The sequence below is a fragment of the Homo sapiens genome, chromosome 5 (assembly GCF_000001405.40).
Source record: "Homo sapiens chromosome 5, GRCh38.p14 Primary Assembly".
Taxonomy (NCBI): Eukaryota; Metazoa; Chordata; class Mammalia; order Primates; family Hominidae; genus Homo; species Homo sapiens.
The window spans coordinates 146,231,833-146,248,670 of record NC_000005.10 but is presented as its reverse complement, the minus strand read 5'-3'; the positions used below and the strand labels follow the sequence as shown (position 1 = coordinate 146,248,670).

The following is a 16,838-nucleotide window of genomic DNA, read 5'->3' as shown; positions in this document are numbered from 1 at the left end:
AATAGGGTGAAACCCCGTCTCTACTAAAATTACAAAAATTAGCCAGGCGTAGTGGTGCATGTCTGTAATCTCAGCTACTCTGGAGGCTGAGGCACAAGAATCACTTGAACCCAGGAGGCAGAGGTTGCAATGAGCCGAGACTGCACCACTGCACTCCAGCCTGGGTAACAGAGAAAGCCTCTGCCTCAAAATAAAAAACAAATACCTCAAAAAGATGGCAATTAATCCAAATGTAGCCTGACTTTCTTAAACAATTCCTACTGAGTCTCTAAATACTACTTCTAAAGCAACAGAGTTCTTTAGACAAAGGGCTAATTCTAGGTCAGGGCAGAAAATTTATAAGATGAGCCTGGTACACCTTAGTATACCTTGTCCTTCCAGAAGCAAGAGAGTTATCAAAAACTGGCATGTCAAAAATTAAAAAAAAAAAAAAAAACTAGCAGAAGCCAACATGAAGAGGCTCCTATTGATTAAAGATGAGACAATCTGAACATCAAAAAAGACTATAATGGAGTGAAACATATCAAATGTTAAAAATTCATGAGTTCATAATGATACTTAAAAAAAAAACAGGAGTTCCCTTTGGAAAAAACTAGGGAATCAACTCATTCTTAAAATTGATAAATGAAAGAAAATACACATATATCATGTCTCTTCTGTAAAAACTGCATTTCAGGTTAACCAAATGGTTGTTATAGTCAACTATATGGAATGCTAGCAATAAATGTAGAAGAAACTATAGATTTAGAGTTTCACATACAACAGCAAATCCAGGCAATGATCAAAAATGGCTGTTGAAACCATCAAGCAAGTTTTAAAATGAATGGATCAGGATGAAAACACCTTTACACACTAATCAATATTTATAACACAGAAAGGAGACAACCAGACATCATGAGCATTATAATGTACTGTGTAGGAAGTACATAACGCCATCTATAAAATGTTCTTGCCAAAAAAAGAAAAAAATTGAATTTTATCAAATACCTAGCTCTAACTTCAAATTTACAGGTAATACAGGGGATAGAGGAATGTGTTAGATGACACCAGAAGATCAATCTGCCAAGTCTAGAATGTGAGAAAATTCTTTAGGACAAATGATCTATTTCTTCAACAAATAAACGCCAAGGGAGAAAAAAAAAGAAGTAAAGGATATTTCTATAAAGACTTAAGAAAGATATCAACTAAACGTAATGTATAACCCTGTTTGGATATAGCGTCAAATAAACCAGGTACAAAAGGGCATTTATGATACAATTGAGAAATATGAAAACTAACTGGATATTTCACAAGGAATAGTAAACTGTTACAAATTTTGGGGGGGACTGTGATAATAGTACTGTGTGTATGTAGGATTTTGTGTGTATGTATGTTTAATTCTTATCTTCAAAGATACATAAGTTTTTACAGATGAAATGCTACTATATTTGGGACTTATTCTAAAACAATCATGTCATTAAGCTGAATTTTGAGGAGCAATAAAAAAGAAAACAAAAATAAAAACTAAGGCCAGGTGTGATGGCTCACATCTGTAATCCCAGCACTTTGAGAGGCTGAGGCTGGAGGACTGCTTGAGCCCAGGAGTTTGAGACCAGCCTGGGCAACATGGGGAGCCCTCATCTCTACAAAAAATTTAAAAATCAGCCAGGTATGGTGGCACGCATCTGTGCTCCCAGCTACTCATGAGGCTGAGACAGGAGGCCTGCTTGAGCCCAGGAGGTCAAGACTGCAGTGAGCCAAGATTGTGCCACTGTACTCAAGGCTGGGTGACAGAGCAAGACCTTGTCTAAAAAAAAAAAAAAAAAACCACAGCACTAAAATAATCAAGTCAGGAGTAGGTTATGGATGAAGCAAGATTAACCACATTGATTAACTGTTGAAGCCAGAAATAAGTACATGAAGATTCACTACATTACACAGTCTACTTTTATGTATGTTGTATTTGAAATTTTCCATCATAATATGTTTTCTCTTTTAAATTTGAGATGAGGTCTTACTATGTTATCCAGGCTAAAGTACAGTGGCTATTCATAGGTGTGATCATAGCTCACTGCAGCTGGAACTCTTGGCCTCAAGGTATCTTCCCCTGCCTCAGCCTCCCAAGAGGCTGGGACTACAGTCACATGCCCACACGCCCAGCTACATTAAAAAATGTTCACTATCAAATAGGTTACAGTAATGGTGAAGATCAGTCTGTCAGAATTTATATTCATTCAGTTTAGTTTTGGTCAGAGTAGTTTCCAAACTGCAAACATCCCAAGTTCATGTTCCCATCTTAAATTGTTCATATAGGTAACATGCCTAATATCAATATTTTCAACTTCTTAATATTAACTCTAGTCAGAATAAAGACAGTCTTTATTCAACCTAAAATTTTAGCAACTCTGTATAATTTTCCTGATTTTGTCTTTAAGAGTATTCACAGGAAAAAAATTTTAAGTTTTAAGCTAAAAACTCAAATCCAGAAAAAATAAAAAGCTACATCTTCCCAATACTGGCCATATTTATGTGTCTTCTTGATTAGAATACAAGGTACCTGGTACACTTGAGAAGTTCCAAGGGCTAAACAGTGCCTGATGTATAATAGAAATCAAACAGTCACTTAAAGAAAAAATGAAAGCTTAAAGTACCCAAATGAAACTTAAGTACTTCTTTGGATGAATATCTGTATGTTGAAATAGACAATGTCACAACTAATACAACATGAATCAGGTCAAATACAAGGGGGAGAAAGCCTCTAGACCAGCAGTCCCCAAGCTTTTTGACACTAGGGACCGGTTCCACAGAATACAATTTTTCCACAAATGGCAGGGGTGAGTGGAGGTGGTGACTTTAGGATGAAACTGTTCCACTTCAGATTATCAGGCATTAGATTCTCATAAAGAATGCGCAACTCAGATCCTTCATATGCGCAATTTACAATACCGTTGAGTCTCCTATGATAATTTAGTGCCACCGTGACCCGGGGTTTGGGGACCCCTGCTCTAGACAATATACAAGGACTCTAATAGACACTGACTTACTTTTCTAGCCATCAAACCCATTATTCTACATAATGCCACAGAATTAAATGAGCAAATCTCAAATTTAGAATTATACTGTTTTAACAATTTTATACAGTTAGTAGGAAAGTATTTTCTGAAAGATAAAGATTTATGTGAATTTATATTAAGACTGGACAGTTATCTTCAACCTAAGAATCAGTCTCTAGAATCCAGGATGTTACCTGCTACTCTTACTTTTTCACACATCCAGTACAACGAACGAACTTAGCAGTTACAAAATATTTTTACTATGCTTCTTCAAGAAGCAGAACAGACCAAAAGCAAGGTAGAAAAGAGAGTGTACTTTACTTAATAATGGTCTTGTAAAAGCCAAAAGTATATACTGAGTTGGTGAGTTCAAACTTGGAGGCTGCAGTGGTACAGCTCTTTAAGATTTTCTCTAGCAAGTTCTCTGGTCTCCCAACAAGAAACCCCCATGCAAAAAAAAAAAAAATTAGGGGTCCAAATACAATGCCTCAGGTCTGTAATCCCAGCATTCTGGTAGGCCAAGGTGAGAGGATTGCTCCAGGCCAAGAGTTTGAGACCATCCTAGGCAACACAGCAAGACTACAAAAAAATTCAACATTAGCTGGGCATGGTGGCATGTGCCTGTACAGCCTAGTTATTTGGGAGGCTGTGGTGGGGTGACCACTTAAGCCCAGTGGTTCAAGGCTGCAGCGAGCTAGAATCATGCCACTACACTCCACCCTGGGCAACAGAGCAAGACCCTATTTCTAAAAAAAAGGTAAATAAATAAATAAATAAATGTTTTTAAAATTGGGGTAAGCTGGGCATGGTGGCTCATGCCTGTAATCCCAGCACTTTGGGGGACTAAGGTTCAGGGAAGAGCTCAAGCCCAGGAGGTCAAGATCAGCCTCGGCAATACAGAAAGACCTCATCTTTATAAATAATTTAAAAAATTAGCTGGGCATGGTGGTGCATGCCTGTGGTCCCAAACTACTCAGGAGGCTGAGGTAGGAGGATTTCCAGAGCCTGAAAGGTTGAGGCTGCAGTGACCCATGATGCCACCATACTCCAGTCTGGGCAGCACAACAAGACTCTGTCTCAAAAAGAAATAAAGGGGGTGGGGGGGCATGGGTAAAATGTTAAGTACTTCAGAGGAAATAGTTGATTTTAACAGTTGATTGCTGTCTTTACACAAAATTCCAAACACAGTTAGTTATTTATTTTCACAGGGTCTATGACATTTTAACTCAAGAAAAGTAACAAAATTTCAAAGTTTTTTATAAATTATAATCAATTTTTTTTTAAGACAGGGTCTTACTTCTCTCTGCTGTCCAGGCTAGAGTATAATGGTACTATCTGCAGCCTTGAACTCCTGGGCTCAAGCAATCCTCCCAACCTTGGCCTTTGAATGTGCTGGGATTACAGGGGTAAACCACTGCATTCAGCCAATATTAACTTTACCAGGAACCATGTATATCCTATTCAGTTTCAGAATCAGGTTAATTCTTTTTCTTATTTTAACATCCAACTTGTCTTTTTCCAAAACCAGTGACAACTGCAGCCTAAATGAATGCTTTATTTCTCACAGAATTAGTTCCTTTGTTACCTGGGGTTTTTTTTTAGCTGTAATAGCAAAATATACTGTAATGGGTTTTCATTTTGTGGAGATTTTTTTTAACATATTTCTTTCCCACTATTAGATTTTTAGATTCTTAGATGACCATTTCTTATTCATCTGTATATTCCTAGTACCTAACACTGAGCAGACTCCAACTCCTACCTTGAAAAATCCAGATTTCGTTTTTCTGTGTTTACTTTGGGTCCTTATTGACATCATCTGCACAACTAAACACCATTTGATATGCATTTTTCACCTATATTTTCTGTGCTGTGAATTTTAATATTAATTTTAATGACAATAAAATATCCATAATTTAAACTTTCCCAACTTGTTAAACTTTTAAGACAGCTCAAGTTCTCATTACACACTGAAAACATACATATAGCTTTTTACTTTATTTGAATCAAACTTCTAATCTTTTTGAAATTACCAATTATAGTACGAGTTGAGTATCCCATATCCAAAAGGCTTGAGACCAGAACTGTTTCAGATTTCAGACTTTTTCAGATTTTTCTATCTCTGAATTATAGTTACTGGCTGAACATCACAGATCTTAAAATCCAAAATCCAAAATGCTTCAATGAGTAAGTAATTCCTTTGAGCATCATATTGGCACTCAAAAAGTTTCTAATTTTGGAGCATTTCAGACTGGGAATGCTTGACCTGTATTTAGAAAAATAAACTTGAACAATGTGAAGGATTCAATTATCTGTCTCAAAGACAAAAATATTTTTAAAACTATTTTATTTTACTTTATTTTATTTATTTTTTTGAGATGGCGTTTCGCTCTTGTTGCCCAGGCTAGAGTGCAATGGCGCAATCTCAGCTCACTGCAACCTCTGCCTCCCAGGCTCAAGTGATTCTCTGGCCTCAGCCTCCTGAGTAGCTGGGATTACAGGCGCCCACCACCACACCCAGCTAATTTTTGTATTTTTAGTAGAGATGCGATTTCACCATGTTGACCACGCTGGTCTCAAACTCCTGACCTCAGGTGATCCGCCTGCCTTAGCCTCTCAAAGTGCTGGGATTACAGGCATGAGCCACCATGCCCAGCCCAAAAGCTATCTTAAAATCAACTGAATAGAAAAATATTAAAAACTTATTAGAAATATAAAGGTAATAGAAAGATATTAAAAACTGAGGCCAGGAGTGGTGGCTCACACCTGTAATCACAGCACTTTGGGAGGCTGAGTCGGAAGGATCACCTGAGGTCGGGAGTTTGGGACCAGCCTGGCCAACATGGTGAAACCCTGTCTTTACTAAAAATACAAAAAAAAATTAGCCGGGCTTGGTGGCATGTGCCTGTAATCCCAGCTACTGGGGAAGCTCCGGCAGAAGAATCGATTGAAACCAAGAGGCGGAGGTTGCAGTGAGCTGAGATCGCACCACTGCACTCCAGCCTGGGCAACAGAGTAAGACTCCGTCTAAAAAAATAAATAAATAAACTTATGACTGACAAACTATACTACACATCCCCTTTTTAATGTTTAGATTATCAGGAACTCTACTAGTCTTCAAAATTTCTCTATAAATTTTAGAATCAGATTTCACACTCAAGAAAGAAAACCACATATTTCTCTGCATAGCAGACTTCTGAAGTGTTCAATATGAATATTCTATAACTTTCAAAATATTCAGTTGCCAACCAATCAAATCTGTTTATCAACACTGATGCAGCATATAAGACAATCCTCTAAAGCAGTAATTCACAAATGCTAAGGGGAAATTATCACCTTTTATTGGTCTACAACAAAACGGGGGGGATATGTAGTGCTATTTCATAAAATCAAATATTAAAAGATTAAGTCAGGCATGGTGGCTCATGCCTACAATCCTACCCACTTTGGGAGGCCAAGGCACAACTGCTTGAGCACCCAGCCTGGGTAAGACAGCAAGACCCTGCCTCTACATACAAAAGATTTTTTTTTTAATTAAAAGATTGTCCTTGAGGCCGTGTGTGATGGCTCACACCCGTGATCCCAGCACTTCGGGAAGCTGAGGCAGGAGTAACACTTGAGCCCACAGTTTGAGACCAGCCTGGGCAACAAAGCAAGAACCTGTGCCTACTAAAAATTTTAAAACTTTTAAATAAATTTTTAAAAAGATTATCTTTTATTCTGAGATTATGTCCTTTCTTCAGTTTAAAAACATATTTTTAAAATTAAAGTATTAGATATTTTCATATACAGACCTTAACCTGGCAAAATAACAAGCTGCTAACTGTACAGGTCCCAAGAATTTTCTTAGAAACGTTACCAGTCTTTAAAAAATGAGTTTAGAGGCCGGTCACAGTGGCTCACACTTGTAATCCCAGCACTTTGGGAAGCCGAGGCGGGCGGATAACTTGAGGCCAAGAGTTTGAGACCTGCCTGGCCAGCATGGCGAAACCCCATCTGTACCAAAAATACAAAAATTAGGTGGGCCTTGGGGCCCACGACTGTAGTCCCAGCTACTTGAGGCTGAGGCACAAGCTTAAACCTGGGAGGTGGAGGTTGCGCCACTGCACTCTAGCCTGGGCAACAGAGTAAGACTGTCTCAAAAAATAATAATAATTTGGAAATACAGTTCTAAAAGGCCTTTACTCATATACTACAAAATAGTCTTACTTTTAAATAAAACAGAAAAATGGACTTCAAAAAACATGAGATCTAATATCTTATTCACCTTGGCTCCCTAGTGTCTGGCACGATGCCTGGCACATAGTAGGCATTCAATAAATATTTGCCAAATTAATTTATTTATTAAGCTAAGTCACTGAAATAAATGGTAACTGCCAGAGTTTTAAAAATTAAAACCAAATGGAATATTTATAGAGTGAGTCACAATGTTAAATTTAACAATATAAAAATAAATGGTAATTGCCAGATTTTTTTTAAATTAAAAACAAGATGGAATTTTTATCATGAGTCATAATACCAAATTTAACAGTATAAAAATATGCCATCTGCAACACACTCTGGAATAGTCCACTTTTTCATATTTACAAGTCCAAAAGGCAAACAATATTAAGAGCTGATTCGGGGGGAAATAGATAAAAGAGGCTCCGCTATAAATTGATAAAGGTTGAAACTGAGGGATAAGCACAAAGAACTTCATTATACTGGGTACTCCGGAGTTCCATATACTGTCCTCTTTACTTTTATATATATTTGAGATTTCCCATAATTAAAAAATGAGCAACAAACATGTTCTATGAAAAGACGCTATAGCAATCAGAATACAGCGAGATACTAAGTATGAAACAGGAAAAACAATTACTTAAGTATCAAATGTGATTTCCGTTCTGTAGAAGCTCAGTTGAATGTAAGATTTACATATATTAAAAAAAATCAAACAGTAGGCCTATATATAAGTATATGTCATTATGTAACAAATGCTTTTTGGTATTGTAAGAGTTTAAAACAGAGCAAAAGGCCGGGCACAGGGGTTCATGCCCGTAATCCCAGCACTCTGAGAGGCCAAGGCAGGCGGATCACCTGAGGTCAGGAGTTCGAGACCAGCCTAGCCAACATGGCAAAACCCCATCTCTACTAAAAATACAAAAATTAGCCAGGTGTGGTGGTGGGCGACTGTAATCCCAGCTACTTGGGAAGCTGAGGCACAAGAATCACTTGAACCCGGGAGGCAGAGGTTGCAATAAGCTGAGATCTCACCACTGCACTCCAGCCTGGGCGACAAAGTGAGACTCTAGATAGACAGACAGATAGACAGACAGACAGACAGACAGACAGACAGACAGACAGATAGAAAACAGCAATCATGTCTTCCAAGTATACTTAGAATTTGGGCCTAGAAAGAGGTGAAGACAGAGTATATTAGTAGGAAAGAAGATTGGGGGGGAAAGTTGAGCCATGACGGGGGCACAGAAAGGGTATAATTGGCATTACCAGAGAAGATGCATGTTGAGGAATAGTGGACAAAGATTGCCAAGAAGGAAGAGGTAGACTATTGAAAGAGTTAAAGGCCAGGAACAGTGGCTCACGCCTGTAATCCCAACCCTTTGGGACGCTCAGGTGGGAGAAACTTGAGCCCAGAAATTTGAGACCAGCCTGAGCAACATAGTGAGACTCCGTCTCTACAAAAAAATTTCAAAAATTAGCCGGGTGTGGTGGCACATGCCTGTGGCCCCAGCTATTTGGGAGGCTGAGGTGGGAGGATCACTTAGCCTGGAAGATCAAGGCTGCAGTGAGCCAAGATGGCACCACCACACTTCAGCCTGGGGAACAGAGTTGAGACTCTGTCTCAAAAAAAAAAAAAAAAAAAGTCCAGGCGTGGTGGCTCACACCTGTAATCCCAGCGCTTTGCAAGGCCAAAGCAGCCAGATCACTTAAGGCCAGGAGTTTGACAGCTAGCCAACATAACAAAACCCCATCTCTACCCAAAATACAAAAAGATTAGCTGGGTATAGTGATACATGCCTGTAATCCCAGCTACTTGGGAGGCTGAGGCACAAGAATTGCTTGAACCCGGGAGGCAAAGGTTGCAGGGAGTTGAGATTGCACCACTGTACTCCAGCCTGGGTGACAGAGCAAGACTTTGTCTCAAAAAAAAAAAAAAAAAAAAAAAGAAAAGGAAAAAAAAAAAGGAGTTAGAAGTCCTAGAGAGGGGTTTACTGATGGCTCAGAAAGAAATGGTAGCCACCGAAAAGTTCTCATAAGGAACTTTCATGGTTGGATTTCTCAGGAAAATTAGCTTAGCAGCATTATGTGGTATGACTTAGGGAAGTTAAACATAAAACATAATGGTGTCAAGTAGGCTGCAGTAATAATCCAAATGTGAAGTGATCTAGCGTGGATGAGGGCAGAGGCCACAGAAGAAATAGAAAGGGCTACTTCAAAGAAAAAGAATTTTTGATTAACCAGATGTAAAAAAGCAAAGCAATGAGTCAGTCCTGTGAAGGTTTCAATTCTAGGTATTAGGTGGGTGTTACTCCATTGACAAAAACAGGGATGGTAGAAGGTACAGATTTAAGAAGTTAATAGGTTCAATTTCAGAGTTTGAAATTTCAGGAGACAATAATAACTACAATAATATAATAATGAATCCTTATAGCTTACTAGTGGCTAGGCACTTTTTTAGATGCTTTAGATGTATTAATTTATTACTCAAAACAACCTTAATGAGGTAATATTATTCTCATTTTAAAGAAGAGGAAATTGAGCTACAGAGAGACTAAGCAACTTACTCAAGGTCACAAAGATAGTAAATGATAAAACCAGGATTTGAAACTGGGCTTAACGAGTTTGCTGAATTGCCTCTCCAAGACATCAAAGAGATACAGAAATGTTTAGGATGCAAAATAAACTTTATGATATACATAGTTACATAAAAGAGGAACATATCCATAAAGTTACCAGGCCTTGTAAAAAAAAAAAAAAAAATCTTCTAATTTGACATTTTTAACAACCAACTACCTTTTTAAAAAATGTTTTTGAAGGAAGTAATTTTTTAAAGCTTTAGTAAACAATAAAACACCTAAGAAACAAAAGAGAATTAGGATTCCAGAAAAATCATTTTGTTTTTTGTTTTCTGAGACGGAGTTTTGCTCTGTCACCCAGGCGGGAGTGCAGTGGCACGATCTCGGCTCACTGCAACCTCCGCCTCCCAGGTTCAAGTGATTCTCCTGCCTCAGCCTCCCGAGTTGCTGGGACTACAGGCATGCTCCACAACGCCCAGCTAATTTTGCATTTTTAGTAGAGACGGGTTTTCTCCATGTTGGTCAGGATGGTCTCGAACTCCCGACCTCAGATGATCTGCCCACCCAGGCCTCCCAAAGTGCTAGGATTACAGGCATGAGCCACCGCGCCTGGCCCAAGAAAAATGTATTATTACAATCAAATGTGAATGTCACAAACAGCCTAAATACAGAAAATTACAATTTAAATGATGCTCTACCTTTATTTCAGTATGCAAGTTAATTATTAGGCATAATTAACCCGCTCTTTTGTATACTTCTTAGGAGATACATCTTATGCTTTAGAAAATCAATCAGATAAACAATTTTTTTAAAAAGCTTCAAAATAAATTTCCTTTAGAAGAGACTTGACGTTAGGCTGGGCACAGTGGTTCACACCTATAATCCCAGCATTTTGGGAGGCCGAGGCAGGTAGATCACCTGAGGTCAGGAGTTCGAGACCAGCCTGGCCAACATGGTGAAACCCCGTCTCTACTAAAAATACAAAAATTAGCTGGGCATGGTGGCACACGCCTGCTGTCCCAGCTACTTGGGAGGCTGAGGCAAGAGAATCACTTGAACCTGGAAAGCAGAGGTTGCAGTGAGCTGAGATTGTGCCACTGCACTCCAGCCTGGGTGACAGAGCGAGACTCTGTCTCAAAAAAATAAAAAGGAGAGACTAAATGTTGCTACTCCATGGCAGAGTAAAATTCTCCAAAACAGAAAGCCTTGCCTTTCTCTCCCATATCACACAAAATTAAAATGTGGCTATATAGCAGAAACACACGATAAACTGTATTGTAAACACAAATACAATTTTTAGAATCCATAAGAACAGAAACTATTTACCATTTTTTAAAGGGTTATACTGATATGAGACAACTTGGCTTTTCTATACCCTGTCAATTTTAAGTCAAACAACATGTACTTACGTTCTGATACTGTGTAAAGGAGGTTCTGGGGTAAAGGAGGAGGTAGTCTTGTTCCCACTGATGCAAGATTGGGCACTGCACTTGTCCCAGGCTGGTCACGGCTGTTTATCAAGCTTGATTGTGTTATAGGTGGTCCTACATACAGACAACAAAAAGTGAAAAGTACAGCATTAATATTTCCTAATAAAAGTATCAGGCCAGGAGCAGTGGCTCACACCTGTAATCCAGAACTGTGGGAGGCCAAGACAGGCGGATCACCTGAGGTCAGGAGTTCGAGACCAGCCTGACCAACATGGAGAAACCTCGTCTCTACTAACAATACAAAAATGAGCAGGGCGTGGTGGCACATGCCTGTAATCCCAGCTACTCAGGAGGCTGAGGCAGGAGAATCGCTTGAACCTGGGACGCGGAGGTTGCGGTGAGCCGAGATCGCACCATTGCACTCCAGCCTGGGCAACAAAAGCAAAACTCTGTCTCGAAAAAAAAAAAAAAAAAAAAAAAAGGACCATCATAGGCCGGGCACGGTGGCTCATGCCTGTAATCTCAGCACTTTGGGAGGCCGAGGCAGATCACCTGAGGTCAAAAGTTCGAGATCAGCTTGGCCAACGTGGTGAAACCCCATCTCTACTAAAAGTACAAAAATAAGCTGGGTGTGGTGGCACACTCCTGTAATCCCAGCTATTTGGGAAGCTGAGGCAGAAGAATCACTTGAACATGGGAGGTGGAGGCTGCAGTGAGCCGAAATCACGCCACTGCACTCCAACCTGGGCAACAGAGAAAGACTTCATCTTAAAAAAAAGAAAAAAATACCATACTAGTACTAACTTGGATACTCACATTTAAAATACCTAATTTGGTTCTGAATAGAATTAAAGAATTTAATATATGCAAGCTTAAGCACTGGGAGTTGTATAATCAATTAAAAGAACATTACTTGTTCTAGAAGAGGCAAAACTAATCTAAGGTGAAAAAAGGCAGGACTGGTTGCCTCTATGGGTGAAGGTGGAGAACGGCTGAGAAGAGGCTTCAGGAAACTTTCTAGGGTGATGGTAAAGTTCTACAGAATTCAAGTTAATGATAAGCATGCTTAAGTGTACGATGTCTGCAACATACTGTGAAAAGCATCAAAAGTAAAAATGGAGAAACGGAAAGATATGTGCTAACATAAATACAGTAAAATGCTAATTGTAGAACCTAGATGGTAAGTATACAAGTACAAGTCCTTCAACTTTCCTATTTGTTACAAACTTTTCATAGCAAAATGTCGGGAGAAATGGTATTCTTGAATTTAACTTTTAAATAGATATGTTCCCACGCTGAGATAACGTTCTTTATTTTAGAATTTCCATATATAAAACGATGTTGCTTTATCTGGGAAATGAAATCTCAGCTTGAGCTTCACAATTATACTGTTTATGTGATTATATTAAATATTCACATATGGGCTGGGCACGGTGGCTCACGCCTGTAATCCCTGAACTTTGGGAACTGAGGCAAGCAAACTGCTTGAGCCCAGGAGTTCAAGACCAGCCTGGGCAACATGGCGAACCCTGTCTCTACAAAAAAGTCCAAAAAAATTTAGCCAGGCATGGTGGCACACGCCTGTAGTCCCAGCTACTCAGGAGACTGAGGTGGGAGGATCCCTTCAAGCCTGGGAGGCGGAGGTTGCAGTGAGTCGTGAGCCAAGATCTCCCCACTGCACTCCAGCCTAGGGCACAGAGTGAGATCTTGTCTCAAAAAGAAAATAAAAGAAAAAAAAAATCACAAATGCTAAGTTAAAAAAAAACAACAACATGTTTCTATAGGCCAAACATATGCATTAAATCCCTCCAAACATTTACCAACTTTAATAATAAAACATATTCTTTAATTTTTTTGAGACAAAGTCTTGCTCTGTCACCCAGGCTGCAGTGCAGTGAGGCCATCACAGCTCACTGCACCCTTGACCTCCTGGGTTCAAGCAATCCTCCCACACCAAGCTCCCAAGCAGTAGGGACTACATGCACCCCCCGACATGCCTGGCTAATTTTTGTATTTTTTGTAAAGGCAGGGTTTTGCCATGTTGCCCAGGCTGGTCTCAAACTCATGAGCTCAAGTGATCTGCCAGCCTCAGCCTCCCAAAGTGTTGGAATTACAGGCGTGCACCACTGTGCCGGGCCATGAAATGTATATTCTACAGAATACTTTATTACTGCAGGGAAGCTCAGGATCATGTGAAACCATTTTCACAATTTCCGTAATTATAATTCTATAACTGAGTCTGTAATTATTTCAAAATAAAATGTTAAAAAGAAATTCATTAAAACTACTGCTTAAACTGAACAGCAATATTTCTAAAAATAAAAATTTGCCATCTTTTATTTATTTATTTATTTATTTATTTATTTATTTATTTATTTTTGAGACAGGGTCTGGCTCTGTCACCCAGGCTAGAATGGAGTGGTGCAATCTTGGCTCACTGCAACCTGTCTCCCAGGCTCAAGCCATCCTCCCACCTCAGCATCCCAAGTAGCTGGAACTATGGGTACACACCACCATGCCTGGCTAATTTTTGTATTTTTTCTAGAGATGGGGTTTCGCCATCTTGCCCAGGCTGGTCTCGAACTCCAGAGTTCAAGTGATCCACCCACTTCGGCCTCCCAAAGTGCTGGGATTACAGATATGACCCACCATGCCCAGCCTAATTTGCCATCTTTTAATGTTAAAAGTCTTCAAGCAGATAACGTTTTATATTTTGGCATACATGAAAACAATTCATTCCATAATTTTTTCAATTACTTTTTAAAAATTTAGTCTTACTTCTATTTCTACTATATTGGCAACTGTTAATAATGCTTTTTAAATGACCATTTTAAAACATTTCTTACTCCTAATTTTGCTGGATGTGATAATGGCATATTGATTTTTTTTTTTAAATAACAAAAACAAAAAGTCCTTATCAGAAAGGAGATCCATACTGAAGTACATACTGGTGAAGTGACATGACATTTAGAATTTACTCCAGCAAAAAACCAACCAACCCAAAGAAAGTGTATGGGAGAGAAGGGAAAATATGAGACAAAACAGCTGAATATTGATCGTCATTGAGGCTGGATGATGGTACCTGCAACACACATACTATTCTACTTCTAAAAATGTCTGTAATAAAAAAAATTTTTTTAATATTATTTCAATATTCTTGAAGAGATTTTCCTTAAAGACTGGAAAATTTCATAAAACTCCTAACATGTTTTTTCTCTGACATCTTAAAAACTGGCTTTCCTGGCCAGGCATGGTGGCTTATGCCTGTAATCCTAGCACTTTGGGAGGCCAAGGCAGGAGAGGACTGCTTGAGGCCAGGAGTTCAAGACCAACCTGGCCAACATAATGAGACCCTGTCTCTAAAGAAAAACTAAATAAAAATAGATAAATAAATAAATACTGGCTTTCTTAAGATGATAACTAGATTTGACTGCAGGTCAATATAGGTTAGGCCACTACACACAAAATTTACACTGTGGTAATACAAATAACATCATGCAATAACGGATGAAAAAAAGAAAAGAATAGCATCTTAATTATGGGAATATATTCCAAATTATATTATTACTCTATTTCTCAAACACTTTAAACGAGTGTCAAGTTAGCTAAAAGGGATGAGGTTCTTCTAAACAGAACGCTAGAGAAAAATTCAACAAATATATACTTACTTGGTATGGGAAGCACAACGGATGGTGGAGGCTGACCATGTCCTTGGGGAACAGGAAGTCTCATACTATGGCCAGGACCTGGACCTGGGCCCGGGCCTGGGCCTGGACCTGGGCCCGGGCCTGGGCCTGGACCTGGCATTGGAGGCATTAACATTCCAGGAGGTGGTGGAGGAGGAAGCCCAGGAGGAGGGGGTGGGAAAGGAATCATACTTGGCAGAGCAACTTCATCAACAACTAGGGGATCATTTCCATGATCAAACTGACAAAGGTCACCAAGTACACAAAATCCTCTTTCTGTGGAATAAAGAATAAAAAAAGAATCTTATTATCATCTACTTAGAGTTCAGAAAACAACAAAACATGTCCCTGAAAAACCCACCAATCTCATTTACAAAGTGGTTTTCTCCAAGGAATCCAAAGTCTCAGTGTTACTCTGTTAAGCATCACATATCCCCAAGGTAGAGGCAGATGTACTCTCTACTTTTTACACTATGATACTATGACTTGTTGAGAAAGCAAATAAAAGAGTCAAGAACAGGTTACCAACTACCATTATACTAAACCATTTGCAATTAAGCTTTCATAATAAAAACTCAGATATTTTAAACAAATATCAATTTAGCAAAGGCGTGGGGTAGGGGAGAATAAGGGCATTGACCTAGATTATTTACTCTCAATCTATTCTCATTACATTATTCTAAAGCAACCATTATTGCTATATCTGGAAGTTGAAACTTTCAAATATTCACGTGAACATTATGTACCAGGTTATCACTTGTAGCACTGTACATAGTAGAAAAATAATAGAAACATCCCAAACATACATCAATAAGGAATAAGTTAAACACGTTTGTACATAAAGAATACTAAGAAGCAGGGCTGGGCGCAGTCGCTCACGCCTGTAATATCAGCACTTTGGGAGGCCAAGGCAGACAGATCACGAGGTCAAGAAACTGAGACCATCCTGACCAACATGGTGAAACCCCGTCTCTACTAAAAATACAAAAATTAGCTGGGCGTGGTGGCACGCGCTTGTAGTCCCAGCTACTCAGGAGGCTGAAGCAGGAGAATCACTTGAACCCAGGAGGCAGAGGTTGCAGTGAGCTGAGATCATGGCACTGCACTCCTGCCTGGTGACAGAGCGAGACTCCATCTCAAAAAAAAAAGAGAAAAAAAAGAATACTAAGAAGCCTAAATAAATACTGAGAAAGCTCTCTATGTTTTAACATAGGATGAACGCCAGGAAATACTGCTAACTGAAAAAACATTATGCAGAAGTATGAGTAGCATACTAGTATTTATGTTAAAAATGTGGGGAAAATATGTGTATTTACTTATGTACATACGCACAGATTATGTTTGGAAAGATAAACAACAAATTGATAACATTACGTTGGCCTTGGCAAGGAGTATTCTATGGCTGAGAGATTAGGGCGAGAATGAGGTAATTCTTGAATTATAATTTGACTCTATTCCCTACTTTAAAATAAGTAAAATGTAAAAACGTATGCATTCTGTATTTATAGAAAAAAATTATGATGTCTGTGACTTGCTTGAAATAATACAGGCCACAGAAGTGAGTGGGAGCATACATTAAAACAACATTCCCCATGGGTTGGTGCCTATTTAAATGATGTAACGGATACACTGGGGTTAAGCATATCATTTTGTCAGCTTTTATGAATATATAAATACTTCCATAATAAAAATTTAAAAGAAATACACACATACCGATTCATTCATTCAAATGGAAAGTCAGCAAATCAAACTTGTAAGTAACTTCTACAAATTCCCGGCAGCAAACACTACTCAAAAAAATGACAATTCCTGGCTGGGCATGGTGGCTCACACCTGTAATCCCAGCACTTTGGGAGGCTGAGGAAGGTGGATCACCTGAGGTCAGGAGTTCCA

At 38.9% G+C, this 16,838-nt stretch overlaps 2 protein-coding genes and 1 pseudogene across 2 annotated transcripts in view, besides 1 other annotated feature; 1 reads left to right on the top strand and 2 right to left on the bottom strand.

Annotated features, from left to right (window-relative positions):
• Positions 1-16,838, bottom strand: part of RBM27-POU4F3 (RBM27-POU4F3 readthrough) — a 138,124-nt gene that overhangs the window by 93,058 nt on the left and 28,228 nt on the right. The window contains exons 7-8 of the mRNA NM_001414499.1: positions 14,928-15,221; positions 11,239-11,373 (exon numbers count right to left, since the gene is read on the bottom strand). Coding sequence (NP_001401428.1) covers positions 11,239-11,373; positions 14,928-15,221 — 429 coding nt within the window. The remainder of the gene's footprint in view (positions 1-11,238; positions 11,374-14,927; positions 15,222-16,838) is intronic.
• Positions 1-16,838, bottom strand: part of RBM27 (RNA binding motif protein 27) — an 85,619-nt gene that overhangs the window by 40,553 nt on the left and 28,228 nt on the right. Inside the window, exons 7-8 of the mRNA NM_018989.2 lie at positions 14,928-15,221; positions 11,239-11,373 (exon numbers count right to left, since the gene is read on the bottom strand). Coding sequence (NP_061862.1) covers positions 11,239-11,373; positions 14,928-15,221 — 429 coding nt within the window. The remainder of the gene's footprint in view (positions 1-11,238; positions 11,374-14,927; positions 15,222-16,838) is intronic.
• Positions 3,418-3,480, top strand: RNU7-180P (RNA, U7 small nuclear 180 pseudogene; annotated as a pseudogene).
• Positions 5,678-5,847: an enhancer, noted in NCBI's record as "experimental_81715 CRE fragment used in MPRA reporter constructs". NCBI's record gives its function as "activates a minimal promoter by MPRAs in K562 erythroleukemia cells, with activity observed for both the introgressed and non-introgressed 5:145622472 variant alleles {active_cell/tissue: K562}" and the evidence as "EXISTENCE:reporter gene assay evidence [ECO:0000049][PMID:34662402]".